This window comes from Homo sapiens, chromosome 3 (assembly GCF_000001405.40).
Source record: "Homo sapiens chromosome 3, GRCh38.p14 Primary Assembly".
Taxonomy (NCBI): domain Eukaryota; kingdom Metazoa; phylum Chordata; class Mammalia; order Primates; family Hominidae; genus Homo; species Homo sapiens.
Window position 1 is genome coordinate 16,670,726 of NC_000003.12, and position 15,143 is coordinate 16,685,868.

A 15,143-nucleotide genomic window follows, 5' to 3' on the forward strand; every position below is an offset into this window, starting at 1 on the left:
TATTCAAAGTCATCCCTCTGCTCACTGAGATAAATGCATACATATCTGATTGGCCATTTTGGAAAGGCTAATCAGAAACTCAGAAAGAATGCAACCATTTGTCTCTCACTTACCTATGACCTGGAAGCCCTGCCCCTCTTCAAATTGTCCTGCCTTTCCAAACCAAACCAGTGTTTGTCTTACATATGTTGATTGATGCCTCATGTCTCCCTAAAATGTGTAAAACCAAGCTGTGCTCTGACCATCTTGGGCTCACGTCTTCAGGACTTCCTGAGGCTGTGTCGCAGGCACACATCCTCAACCTTGGCAAAATAAACTCTCTAAATTAACTGACCTGTCTCAGATTTGTGGGGTTCACATTTTGGTAACATGAAGGGATTGTGAGTGGAGGTACCCCTGACCTTTGACAAATCTCCTATCGGTGCTTGGCACCAGCATGAGCTGTCTATATAGCTCAAACCAACAGGACAATTTGCTGAGGCCTGGAAGCACCTCCTCCAGAGAATCCCTGATTGCCCACAATTTGGTCAAGACCTAAAGTTTATTTTGCTGTATAATTTCCTTTTTTTTGGAGTTTACTTGCTTCCAACACAAGGAAGGCAAGTTTTTCCTGCTTCCATGACAATGGCAAGCAGGTTACTCCTTTATGGAGTTTGAGCTTGCTTCCAACAGGGAAGATGAATATTTTTTTTTCCTGCATCTAGAATGGTAGAGAACAGTCTTCAGCCTGAGATCCATCCCTAGGTAAGTAAATGAATTGGGGTTTGCCTCGGACAAAGTTAAGATTAACAACCATCTGGTCTTAATTTCTCATTACCATTAGAGTGCTCAGTAATTGTATAAATTGTGCAATCCTTTGTTTTTTCACTTAACTGTTTTTGTTGTCGTTCTTTGTTTCTGTTTTTGTTGTTGTTTCTTTGTTTCTGCTTTTGTTGTTGTTTCATCTTTTTCCAATTGAGTTTGACCAGCTCTATCCAACTTGATCAAATCTGAAGCAAAGTTCCAAATCATGGGGAACAAAGCTTCTGAAGTGGCTGAATTCCACACACACAAAAAGGTGGTATGGTTGGGGGAAAAAATGGCCAGCAAAAAGAAAAAGAAAAAGGAAAGATTTTTAATTTTGACTACTTAAGGTGCTTTATTTACATAACAAGGCCACCTTTGTGCTAGCCAGGCCAAACTGAAAAAACAACGGCTATTGCCCCATGCTGCAGTTCCCTTGCTAAGCATTCTGCCTTTTTTTTTTTTTTTTCCCACCATGACAGCCTGGGTTTGGTTCCTAAATCAAGCCCTTTCTGGTTTGATACTTGGTACTTCTGAAATAGCAGCAATTTGCCCTAGCTGAAATATGGTAATGAGATTTTAAATGATCTTTTTAAAGGAGCTCAATGGTTAAAAGTCAGCTTAATTAAAAGCTGACATCCAAGACGCATGTGCATATGTGTACATGTGTGTGTTGGTATTTAAAAGGCCTTCATGTTGTTGTTTGTTTTTTCTCTCCTCGGACTTTGTCTATTTTTTGAGCAAAAGTTTTTTTCTCCTCCGTTGACTGAATTCTGTTTTCTTCATTTATTTCTGCTGTCTCTCCTTTCTCTTGCACCTTCTGTTGCATGAGGGACCTAAAATAGCTTATAATAGCTGGGGTTCCTTAAAGAAAATGGAGAAGGTGCCAGACTCCCTTTTGGGGAGAAATCTCTATTTCTCCTTATGGAATCCTAAGAGTGTAAATAGACAAGTTTGTCTCAGCTCTTAAACTGCTTGGCTTTTGTATTGTGTTACCTGATTTTTGACTAAAATAGTTATTGCAACAGAGGCTTTTCTTGGGTTTTTAAGGAAGAGTGTAGTTTAGACACTTAGAAATGCCTTTGCTTTTAAAAAAATTTTTTTTAAGTGTGCTGTAAAAACAACACATGCCTCATAATAATTCTCCCCTTGGGAAACCCAGGATTCAGTATGGGCTCTGCCCAGAGCTCAGAGATCCATTTAAAAGAAAGGTAGTCCCTATCTAAATAAAATTGGTCTCCTTATACAGTCCTACAATAGATTTCCATAACTTTATGTTTGATTTGGCATCCATCTTTAGTATCCCTCTAGCACACCAGACTTTTTCTCTCCATACCTTATAATGTAAATTTTGCTATTTGATTTTCACCTGAGTTGTTTCCTTTAATCTGCAAATGTAAGGCTATTTAGCTGACAACTGCCCAGGATTGTGAAACAGGTTATCAAGAATCTGAAAGTCCAAGATAGGAAAAAAAAGAAAAGGTTTCTATGTATCTATAAGATGTACTTCTATTGGCATGCCTAATATGTCTATATATTTATGTGTTGTCTACACAGTGTTTTAGTACTGAAAATATATATTAAAAAAACTCTAATTAATTGGCTTAAAGAAAAATAAAAGTACTTAAATCAAATACTTTATCAGAAAAGGAAAGACTAGTCAAATGCTTTTTCAAGTTTACATGACTTAAGTAAAATCTTTATAAATAAGCTAGCTTTAAAATGATTGGTAAAGTAACATCAAAAATGTCTTAAGAATTGCCAGCACACATTTTTGTTTGCATATATTGATCAAGCAATTTCATACTCATCTCTGCCAAATACTATACGGGTCAAAATTTGGCATAGGTGTTATAAAACTATAAACCCACCCCAAAACAGAATGATCTTTGCTTGTGTAATCTTTAATAAATAAGACATTGGCATTGGTTTAATACAAATAGCTACATCTTGAATTTAGTAAGATTACCATAACTTCTAATCTTGTGGTTTTAGACAGTCTAGTCCACAGGCAATGAGGTTTGTTTTGGGAAAGGACTTTTATCATCTTTATTTCAAAGCTAAACTATCAACTAATTTCCTCCCAAAGTTAGTTTGGCTGTTGTCCAGGAATGAACAAGGACAGCTTGGAGGTTAAAAACAAGATGGAGCCAATTAGGTCAAAATTTTTTCACTGTCTTGTTATAATTTTGCAATGGTAGTTCCATAACTTTAAATGATGACTATTGCAGTTTTCATAAATAATCTAGGTAAATAATTAGGTAAATGTAATGAGATAAATACTTGTATACAAACTCATCATAATTTAGAATCTAAAGTTATATTACATTAAATGATAGATATTTAATTATTTGAGTATTTTCCAATAAAAATATATTCATAGAAAAACATTCTTCTAAAAAAAGTGTGTTCTTTGTAAAAAAAAGGTGAACAATTTTTGTCTAATTCAAAGCTTATTTAAATGTCATATATAAAACAAGGTAAAAGGAACTAGGAAATAAGAGTGATAAAAAAAGTTATAAAAATAAAGAGGGGTTTTTTGGTAAGAAAGCTAAAAGAGAAATAATTTCATTAAGAAAGAATCTTGTATGGTAAATTTAGTCCTAGAATAAAATGACTAGTTGTTTTAGAAAGAGGGATGTTCAGGACAACAACCAGAAAATCCAAGCGTGTCATGAATAGTCTGTGTAAATCACAGTAAGGATTTATTTAAAAAAAAAACAAAAACAAAAACAAAAAACTTTTATATGATCAAGTTGTGTATAAACAAAAGGAAATTATAATGGTTTTTCTAGAGATTGAGCTTGATGTGAAAAAATTCTTATATACTAAATAATTGGTTAGAGCAATGAAATTTTCTTAAGGGATTGACTTAGTCATAGTTTATTATCAGAGATTTTCATTTTGTTTTAACCCAAAGTTCAACTTTTATTGCATCTCACTGTTGTCAGTTTTCTCTCCCCTTTTAAAAGATGAGAAATAGTAATGCTCTTCTTCAACTCATTTTCAGCTCATATTAGTTTTCTTCCTTAAGTTCTGTTTATTGTGGCCTGATGCTAACAATGTTTTCTTAAGGTTCTAAAGGAAATGTTTTCTTCTAACATAATATTCTGTGCAGTGCAGAAGGTTTCTTTTGCCTTTTGGTAACTGGCCTAACAGATTTTACAGTTTATCAAAACAATTCCTATGTCATTATTATTATAAATTTTGGCTTGTTTAGAAGAGATTTAAAAATTTTTAAATTAAGGTTATTACATCTATATATCTCTATATATGCACTGTTAAAGTACTTTTGACATTGAGTTATAGGGCTTTGGCTCCTGGGTCTAGAAAGGACACCAAGTCCTGCTAAATTTTAAATACTGACAGCAAATAAAGCCCCATCTTCAGGCCCAGTAGAAGATACCAATCGAAATGAACTGCCTTCCTGAGACACAGGGCCAGAAATACAAGCTGTTCAGCTCCTCGAGGCCCATGGACTATCGTGGAAGAGGTGCACATGTGAGATTGTAAGAGCTGATTTTGAGAGATAAAATAAGTTCAGCTTCTCTATAAATTATTTATTAATCTCAAAAGCACACTGATGCAAGACCAGTATATAGGCCCCTGTGTCAGATTAACAAGGTTTTCTTGAAGCATTAACTGACCCTTAATAAAGGTTATAAAGTTTTTAAAAGGCTTATGGAAGTTATGTCTTATGGTCAAGATTAAAATTTTATAGATTGTTTATAAAATTTTGAAAAACGAATTGGCTTCTTGCTGTTTCTTTTAGGGTTTATTGATTGGAAAATGAAGTCTCCTCTCAAAGAAGGAAGGTTTTTGCCTTCTTTGGTATCCTTATCACTTTGGTTAAATGAATGACTTAGTTGATAATGACCTATGATCCTATTTTATGATATCAAGTGTTTTAAACTTTCGATATTTGACAAACTTCCCAAAATCAAATTATAAATTTGCCTCTTTCTGACCTAATTAATCCTTTAAGATATTAGTTCCCTAAAGTCCAAAAATAACATACTTGGTTTATTTGGTATAAAAATTATACAGGAAGCATTGTCATATATGATTTGGCTTTCTTTGGGCTGCATTTGTATAAATGTTATTCATATGTTTTCCAAAATTATGGAAAACTCCTATAATTCTGATATGACTTAGTGTACATTATCAGTAATAATTATAATTGTTATTGTGTGCCACAGAGGTAATAAATTTCCTTGTCAATTGTTTCTTTGACTATGGCTGCCCTACAGCCTTTTGTTATCCACTGAAAATTGTTGCCTTGTTTTGGTCCTCCTCAGAAGGTGGTTTTATAATCAGCTGTAAAACCCTAGCAGGTGCTCTTGAATGCAGGTTTCTGTTAACTTTTGGAGATTATGACATCAGAATAGAAGGAAAAATTTCAGGACTCATGGAGAGCTGAAGTGTTCATAAATATCAAGCAGTATAGGAATTAACTGCATGGACTGAACTAATAGAAGACTGAAGTAATCATTTTGACTTTTTGCTTAAAACATTGTTGATCCTTTGTTTTGTTTTTTTCAGAGTGAAGAAAGCCTTTCTTTTGAGCTATTGACAGCTTTTAACAAGTTAGGATACTCCTTTGAACAAAATTTGCAACATATTTCTTTTCTCTCTACCTGATTTCTCCAGAATTTGGAAACTATTTGTGAGTATTCTTAACTTATGGCAATACAGTTATTTACATAAGTGCAATAAGAATCTGTTTTCATTTGTAACAGGACACAATTAGAGAAACTGGTTATTTTACCAAGGCTTTGACTGGAATGGTGTGCTTTCCTTTAAGGAATCAAACTTGACTTATGGAGCCAATAAAACCCCTTTGGAAAAACTGGCCTCATACCTTGTCTACACAGTCTCTGTTCAGGGTTCTGATCTATAGTAGTAAAGTATGTCACTTTCTGACAGGCTCAGGAGCCCCAAGTTTATCCTGGGACCTCAAGAGGAGAGGATCACCCAACTTATAGGTATTTGATGGTACATATCCATGGCTGGGCTCAGCTTTAAAAAAGTTTCATCTGAGATTCCTTCTGTGAAACAAAGTTCCATCAAAGCCAATTTAAAAGCCTATGTAAAAAATAATTATGAGGGAGGGCAGCCAAGATGGCCAAATAGGAACAGCTCCGGTCTACAGCTCCCAGCGTGAGCGACGCAGAAGACGGGTGATTTCTGCATTTCCATCTGAGGTACCGGGTTCATCTCACTAGGGAGTGCCAGACAGTGGGCTCAGGACAGTGAGTGCAGCACACCATGCGCGAGCCAAAGCAGGGTGAGGCATTGCCTCACTCAGGAAGCGCAAGGGGTCAGGGAGTTCCCTTTCCTAGTCAAAGAAAGGGGTGACAGACGGCACCTGGAAAATCAGGTCACTCCCACCCTAATACTGCGCTTTTCCAACGGGCTTAAAAAACGGCGCAACAGAAGATTATATCCCGTACCTGGCTCGGAGGGTCCTATGTCCATGGAGTCTCGCTGATTGCTAGCACAGCAGTCTGAGATCAAACTGCAAGGTGGCAGCGAGGCTGGGGGAGGGGCGCCCACCATTGCCCAGGCTTGCTTAGGTAAACAAAGCAACCGGGAAGCTCGAACTGGGTGGAGCCCACCACAGCTCAAGGAGGCCTGCCTGCCTCTGTAGGCTCCATCTCTGGGGGCAGGGCACAGACAAACAAAAAGACAGCAGTAACCTCTGCAGACTTAAATGTCCCTGCCTGACAGCTTTGAAGAGAGAAGTGGTCCTCCCAGCACACAGCTGGAGATCTGAGAACGGGCAGACTGCCTCCTCAAGTGGGTCCCTGACCCCTGACCCCCGAGCAGCCTAACTGGGAGGCACCCCCTAGTAGGGGCAGACTGACACCTCACATGGCCAGGTACTCCTCTGAGACAAAACTTCCAGAGTAATGATCAGGCAGCAGCATTCACAGTTCACGAAAATCCGCTGTTCTCCAGCCACCGCTGCTGATACCCAGGCAAACAGGGTCTGAAGTGGACCTCTAGCAAACTCCAACAGACCTGCAGCTGAGGGTCCTGTCTGTTAGAAGGAAAACTAACAAACAGAAAGGACATCCACACTAAAAACCCACCTGTACATCACCATCTTCAAAGACCAAAAGTAGATGAAACCACAAAGATAGGGAAAAAACAGAGCAGAAAAACTGGAAACTCTAAAAAGCAGAGCGCCTCTCCTCCTCCAAAGGAATGCAGTTCCTCACTGGCAACGGAACAAAACTGGACAGAGAATGACTTTGATGAGTTGAGAGAAGAAGGCTTCAGACAATCAAACTACTCTGAGATACAGGAGGAAATTCAAACCAAAGGCAAAGAAGTTAAAAACTTTGAAAAAAATTTAGACGAATGTATCACTAGAATAACCAATACAGAGAAGTGCTTAAAGGAGCTGATGGAGCTGAAAACCAAGGCTTGAGAACTATGTGAAGAATGCAGAAGACTCAGGAGCTGATGCGATCAACTGGAAGAAAGGGTATCAGTGATGGAAGATGAAATGAATGAAATGAAGTGAGAAGGGAAGTTTAGGGAAAAAAGAATAAAAAGAAATGAACAAAGCCTCCAAGAAATATGGGACTATGTGAAAAGACCAAATCTATGTCTGATTGGTGTACCTGAAAGTGACGGGGAGTTGGAAAACACTCTGCAGGATATTATCCAGGAGAACTTCCCCAATCTAGCAAGGCAGGCCAACATTCAGATTCAGGAAATACAGAGAACACCACAAAGATAATCCTCAAGAAGAGCAACTCCAAGACACATAATTGTCAGATTCACCAAAGTTGAAATGAAGGAAAAAATGTTAAGGGCAGCCAGAGAGAAAGGTCGGGTTACCCACAAAGGGAAGCCCATCAGACTAACAGCGGATCTCTCGGCAGAAACTCTACAGGCTAGAAGAGAGTGGGGGCCAATATTCAACATTCTTAAAGAAAAGAATTTTCAACCCAGAATTTCATATCCAGCCAAACTAAGCTTCATAAGTGAAGGAGAAATAAAATACTTTACAGATGCTAAGAGATTTTGTCACCACCAGGCCTGCCCTAAAAGAGCTCCTGAAGGAAGCACTAAACATGGAAAGGAACAACCGGTACCAGCCGTTGCAAAATCATGCCAAAATGTAAAGACCGTCGAGACTAGGAAGAAACTGCCTCAACTAACGAGCAAAATAACCAGCTAACATCATAATGACAGGATCAAATTCACACATAACAATATTAACTTTAAATGTAAATGGACTAAATGCTCCAATTAAAAGACACAGACTGGCAAATTGGATAAAGAGTCAAGACCCATCAGTGTGCTGTATTCAGGAAACCCATCTCACATGCAGAGACACACATAGGCTCAAAATAAAAGGACGGAGGAAGATCTACCAAGCAAATGGAAAACAAAAAAAGGCAGGGGTTGCAATCCTAGTCTCTGATAAAACAGACTTTAAACCAACAAAGATCAAAAGAGACAAAGAAGGCCAGTACATAATGGTAAAGGGATCAATCCAACAAGAAGAGCTAACTATCCTAAATATATATGCCCCCAATACAGGAGCACTCAGATTCATAAAGCAAGTGCTGAGTGACCTACAAAGAGACTTAGACTCCCACACAATAATAATGGGAGACTTTAACAACCCACTGTCAACATTAGACAGATCAACAAGACAGAAAGTTAACAAGGATACCCAGGAATTGAACTCAGCTCTGCACCAAGCCGACCTAATAGACATCTACAGAACTCTCCACCCCAAATCAACAGAATATACATTTTTTTCAGCACCACACCACACCTATTCCAAAATTGACCACATAGTTGGAAGTAAAGCTCTCCTCAGCAAATGTAAAAGAACAGAAATTATAACAAACTGTCTCTCAGACCACAGTGCAATCAAACTAGAACTCAGGATTAAGAAACTCACTCAAAACCGCTCAACTACATGGAAACTGAACAACCTGCTCCTGAGTGACTACTGGGTACATAACAAAATGAAGGCAGAAATAAAGATGTGCTTTGAAACCAACGAGAACAAAGACACAACTTACCAGAATCTCTGGGACACATTCAAAGCAGTGTGTAGAGGGAAATTTATAGCACTAAATGCCCACAAGAGAAAGCAGGAAATATCCAAAATTGACACCCTAACATCACAATTAAAAGAACTAGAAAAGCAAGAGCAAACATTCAAAAGCTAGCAGAAGGCAAGAAACAACTAAAATCAGAGCAGAACCGAAGGAAATAGAGACACAAAAAACCCTTCAAAAAATTAATGAATCCAGGAGCTGGTTTTTTGAAAGGATCAACAAAATTGATAGACCACTAGCAAGACTCATAAAGAAAAAAAGAGAGAAGAATCAAATAGATGCAATAAAAAATGATAAAGGGGATATCACCACCGATCCCACAGAAATACAAACTACCATCAGAGAATACTACAAACATCTCTACGCAAATAAACTAGAAAATCTAGAAGAAATGGATAAATTTCTGGACACATACACTCTCCCAAGACTAAACCAGGAAGAAGTTGAATCTCTGAATAGACCAATAACAGGATCTGAAATTGTGGCAATAATCAATAGCTTACCAACCAAAAAGAGTCCAGGACCAGATGGATTCACAGCCGAATTCTACCAGAGGTATAAGGAGGAACTGGTACCATTCCTTCTGAAACTATTCCAATCAATAGAAAAAGAGGGAATCCCCCCTAACTCATTTTATGAGGCCAGCATCATCCTGATACCAAAGCTGGGCAGAGACACAACCAAAAAAGAAAATTTTAGACCAATATCCTTGATGAACATTGATGCAAAAATCCTCAATAAAATACTGGCAAACCGAATCCAGCAGCACATCAAAAAGCTTTTCCGCCATGATCAAGTGGGCTTCATCCCTGGGATGCAAGGCTGGCTCAATATACGCAAATCAATAAATGTAATCCAGCATATAAACAGAACCAAAGTCAAAAACCACATGATTATCTCAATAGATGCAGAAAAGGCCTTTGACAAAATTCAACAACCCTTCATGCTAAAAACTCTCAATAAATTCGGTATTGATGGGATGTATCTCAAAATAATAAGAGCTATCTATGACAAAACCACAGCCAATATCATACTGAATGGGCAAAAACTGGAAGCATTCCCTTTGAAAACTGGCACAAGACAGGGATGCCCTCTCTCACCACTCCTATTCAACATAGTGTTGGAAGTTCTGGCCAGGGCAATTAGGCAGGAGAAGGAAATAAAGGGTATTCAATTAGGAAAAGAGGAAGTCAAATTGTCCCTGTTTGCAGACGACATGATTATATATCTAGAAAACCCCATTTTCTCAGCCCAAAATCTCCTTAAGCTGATAAGCAACTTCAGCAAACTCTCAGGATACAAAATCAATGTGCAAAAATCACAAGCATTCTTATACACCAATAACAGACAAACAGAGAGCCAAATCATGAGTGAACTCCCATTCACAATTGCTTCAAAGGGAATAAAATACGTAGGAATCCAACTTACAAGGGACGTGAAGGACCTCTTCAAGGAGAACTACAAACCACTGCTCAAGGAAATAAAAGAGGATACAAACAAATGGAAGAACATTCCATGCTCATGGGTAGGAAGAATCAATATCGTGAAAATGGCCATACTGTCCAAGGTAATTTATAGATTCAATGCCATCCCCATCAAGCTACCAATGACTTTCTTCACAGAATTGGAAAAAACTACTTTAAACTTCATATGGAACCAAAAAAGAGCCTGCATCACCAAGTCAATCCTAAGCCAAAAGAACAAAGCTGGAGGCATCACGCTACCTGACTTCAAACTATACTACAAGGCTACAGTAACCAAAACAGCATGGTACTGGTACCAAAACAGAGATATAGATCAATGGAACAGAACAGAGCCCTCAGAAATAACACTGCATATCTACAAATATCTGATCATTGACAAACCTGACAAAAACAAGCAATGGGGAAAGGATTCCCTATTTAATAAATGGTGCTGGGAAAACTGGCTAGCCATATGTAGAAAGCTGAAACTGGATCCCTTCCTTACATCTTATACAAAAATTAATTCAAGATGGATTAAAGACTTAAACGTTAGACCTAAAACCATAAAAACCCTAGAAGAAAACCTAGGCATTACCATTCAGGACATAGGCATGGGCAAGGACTTCATGTCTAAAACACCAAAAGCAATGGCAACAAAAGCCAAAATTGACAAATGGGATCTATTTAAACTAAAGAGCTTCTGCACAACAAAAGAAACTACCATCAGAGTGAACAGGCAACCTACAAAATGGGAGAAAATTTTTGCAACCTACTCATCTGACAAAGGGCTAATATCCAGAATCTACAATGAACTCAAACAAATTTACAAGAAAAAAACAAACAACCCCATCAAAAAGTGGGTGAAGGATATGAACAGACACTTCTCAAAAGAAGACATTTATGCAGCCAAAAGACACATGAAAAACTGCTCATCATCACTGGCCATCAAAGAAATGCAAATCAAAACCACAATGAGATACCATCTCACACCAGTTAGAATGGCGATCATTAAAAAGTCAGGAAACAACAGGTGCTGGAGAGGATGTGGAGAAATAGGAACACTTTTACACTGTTGGTGGGACTGTAAACTAGTCCAACCATTGTGGAAGTCAGTGTGGCGATTCCTCAGGGATCTAGAACTAGAAATACCATTTGACCCAGTCATCCCATTACTGGATATATACCCAAAGGATTATAAATCATGCTGCTATAAAGACACATGAACACGTATGTTTATTGCGGCACTATTCACAATAGCAAAGACTTGGAACCAACCCAAATGTCCAACAATGATAGACTGGATTAAGAAAATGTGGCACATATACACCATGGAATACTATGCAGCCATAAAAAATGATGAGTTCATGTCCTTTGTAGGGACATGGATGAAATTGGAAATCATCATTCTCAGTAAACTATCGCAAGGACAAAAAACCAGACACCGCATGTTCTCACTCATAGGTGGGAATTGAACAATGAGAACACATGGACACAGGAAGGGGAACATCACACAACGGGGACTGTTGTGGGTGGGGGGAGGGGGGAGGGATAGCATTAGGAGATATACCTAATGCTAAATGACGAGTTAATGGGTGCAGCACACCAGCATGGCACATGTATACATATGTAACTAACCCGCACATTGTGCACATGTACCCTAAAACTTAAAGTATAATAACAATAAAATAAAATAAAAAATAATAATTATTCTTGCTGCACTATATACAAATAATTAGGCCAGGTATAATAAAGAAAACCAGTCCTCCCATGATTCGTCTTTAATAAAAATGGGAAACTGGAGAGAGAAAAATTATGTTTCAAAAACTATAGCACACCTGTTGTTAGATTTTAGTCTTGCATAATGTTTTTCAACTTTTATTATTTTCTACAGTTTGGACCGAATTCTAATTTTTATTGGCTACAAGTCTTTAAAATAATGTTTTCCACTTTTCCTTCCTTTTTCCCTGTTTTTCCTGATTTGGAGTCACTGAAAACTAAGCTGTGCTTTTGTAAAGCCATGCAAACTGAAGCTAAACAACTTAAACTTCAGAAGAAAATAATGGCAACCTGTTTACATACATAACCACATTCATACCTGCCTACTGAAGTATGGACTACAGAGTAATGTGGCCTATATCAATTTTTCAAGATTGTTATTTTGTTTGTTGTTGTTTTTATCCCTTCTTCCCCCTACTTTCTCTTCATGGGACATGCGACTTCACAACCTGCTAAAAATTAGTTTTTCTAAGAACTTGAGACCTACTTGTCTAGGAATAAACTGTCCTGGCCATGAGAGATCAGACAAAGTCTAAGACCAGAGATTCATTTTCTTCTTAAATGCTTTCTCCAAAAGATTTTACAAAGAAAAAGGGGGAAATGTAGAAGAAAATAAATCTTTGGGCCCCAAAATCACTAAGTTAAAGGGAAAAGTCAAGGGGGGAACTGCCTAGGACAAACTCACCTCGCATTCTATTCAAAGTCATCCCTCTGCTCACTGAGATAAATGCATATCTGATTGCCTCCTTTGGAAAGGCTAATCAGAAACTCAAATAGCATGCAACTGTTTGTCTCTCACTTACCTATGACGTGGAAGCCCCCTTCCTACTTCAGGTTTTCCCGCCTTTCCAGTCTAAACCAATGTTCATTTTACCTATGTTGATTGATGTGTCATGTCTCTCTAAAACATATAAAAGTAAACTGTGCTCTGACCATCTTGGGCACATGTCTTCAGGACCTTCTAAGTCTGTGTCACTGGTGCACATCCTCAACCTTGGCAAAATAAACTTTCTAAACTAACTGATACCTGTCTCAGATTTTTAGGGTTCATAGAGGGTTGGTAATATTCCATACTTGGGTGAGTTTCCAGGGGTGGTAATACTCCATACACTTACTGCTACACATGGATGCCAGAGGACACAGAATCCTGAGGAAACAGACATTTCATGTTTGGAGCCCTCCCAGTCCCAGATTCCTCCTATGTGTCTCTTCCCTTGAGGGGTTCTGAATTGTATCCTTTTTGCTATAATAAAACTGTTATGATCAAAGTATAGTTCAAAGTATAGATCAAAGATCAGCTTTCCTGAGTTCTGTAAGTCATTTAGCAACTTACTGAACATGAAGGAGTTTGTGGGGACCCTTGAATTTGCAGCCAGCTGGTCTGAAGTGAGGGTGACCCTGGGGACCCACAAACTTGGGGCTAGTGTCAGAAGTCTTGGATAGACTTTGCAGTCTGGGAGGACCTTGCCTTTCACCTCAAGTTTGGATAACTCCAGATATTAAATAACATACCTAAGGCCACACAGCTACGAACTGTTGGAGCTGGGATTTGCACCTTGGTGTCTCTGTCACAATATGTCCAGGCAGAAGCTTAGTTTTGTAACCACATCCCCCACCCCAAAACCCCCCAGCAAATAACATGTGACTGTCACTGTCATTAATCTATACTGTCCTGTTTCTCATTTCTGAATATAGAGAAGAGGTTTTCATCTGGGGCAGTTTTTCCCCCCATAGAATATTTGGTAATGTCTGGAGGCATCTTTTGGGGAGGATCCTACTGGTATCTAGTGGGTAGAGGCTAGGGATGCTACTTAACATCCTATAAGGCACAGGTCAGCCCTCCCTCACAACAAAGAATTACCCAGCTTAAACATCAACCATGCTGAGGTTCAGAAACCCTAGTATAGAGGTATGTTCTGTGCTGGAATTGCATAAGTGAGAGAACCACCTTCTGTATTAGTCTGTTTTCACACTGCTCTAAAGAAATACCCAATACTGGGTAATGTATAAAGGAAAGAGGTTTAATTGACTCACAGTTCCACATGGCTGGGGAGGCCTCAGGAAACTTACAATCATTGTGGAAGGGGAAGCAGGCTTGTCTTACATGATGGCAGGTGAGAAAGAGAGTGAGTGTGAAGGAGGAACTGTCAAACACTTATAAAACCATCAGATCTCACAAGATCTCACTCACTATCATGAGAACAGCATGGGGGAAACTGCCCACATGATCCAGTCACCTCCCTCCCTTGACATGTGGGGATTACAGGTCCCTCCCTTGACACATGGGGATTATAATTCAAGATGAGATTTGGGTGGGGACACAGAGCCAAACCATATGACCTTCTTATATGTGTTTCTCAATGCTCTGGGAAAGGGTAACACCTAGAAATAACATGACAAATCAAAGTACAAGGTAATTAAGCTATGATCATCATCATTCTCTTAACTCCTGAGATGTAGCTTCAAGCAGGATATTCTTTCATAGGAGGAATGATAATGTTGGGGCTTAGAAAACAATACCCCAAAGTATGGTGCATTGGCATGCTGAGTACTTTGAACTGAAGGATATTGAAAGGACCTCAGAAGCAAAGTATCTTTCTGATCTTCTCCTGCCTTCCTGTTCCCTGCTCCCCTTTTGCCCCCAAGGCAGGTCATATAAACTAGAGCACATCTTTCCCAAGGTGGGTTATACTACTCTAACCTTCCCCTGCCTTTCTGTGTAGGAGCTGAACACAAATAAATTCTATGACCTGCTTTGTCTGATCTGATAGCGGGTCATAAGACCCTCATTCCACAGGGGACCTGCCCTATACCTGGGAAGAAGGAACGCTGCACAGAAAGGCTCAGAAAAATCTGAACAGACAGGCTCTTCTGGGTTCCCCACTCAGTCTATTGTCATCAGATCGTTCTCTTTTTTGTCCAATCACATGTTTACACGGCTATCCATTCTTCATTGAACCGAAGCATAAAAATAGTTTTCCTGGGTGTTCGGGTCCTCATTTCTGAAGGCGTCCAAGTCATAAGAAAC

General features: G+C 38.7%; 3 annotated features.

The window, feature by feature from the left end:
- Positions 393 to 1,361: an enhancer, noted in NCBI's record as "NANOG-H3K27ac hESC enhancer chr3:16712625-16713593 (GRCh37/hg19 assembly coordinates)". NCBI's record gives its function as "activates a minimal SCP1, AML or CMV promoter by ChIP-STARR-seq in primed H9 embryonic stem cells {active_cell/tissue: H9 hESC(primed)}" and the evidence as "EXISTENCE:reporter gene assay evidence [ECO:0000049][PMID:30033119]".
- Positions 5,756 to 6,256: an enhancer, noted in NCBI's record as "H3K4me1 hESC enhancer chr3:16717988-16718488 (GRCh37/hg19 assembly coordinates)". NCBI's record gives its function as "activates a minimal SCP1, AML or CMV promoter by ChIP-STARR-seq in naive H9 embryonic stem cells {active_cell/tissue: H9 hESC(naive)}" and the evidence as "EXISTENCE:reporter gene assay evidence [ECO:0000049][PMID:30033119]".
- Positions 6,257 to 6,757: an enhancer, noted in NCBI's record as "H3K4me1 hESC enhancer chr3:16718489-16718989 (GRCh37/hg19 assembly coordinates)". NCBI's record gives its function as "activates a minimal SCP1, AML or CMV promoter by ChIP-STARR-seq in naive H9 embryonic stem cells {active_cell/tissue: H9 hESC(naive)}" and the evidence as "EXISTENCE:reporter gene assay evidence [ECO:0000049][PMID:30033119]".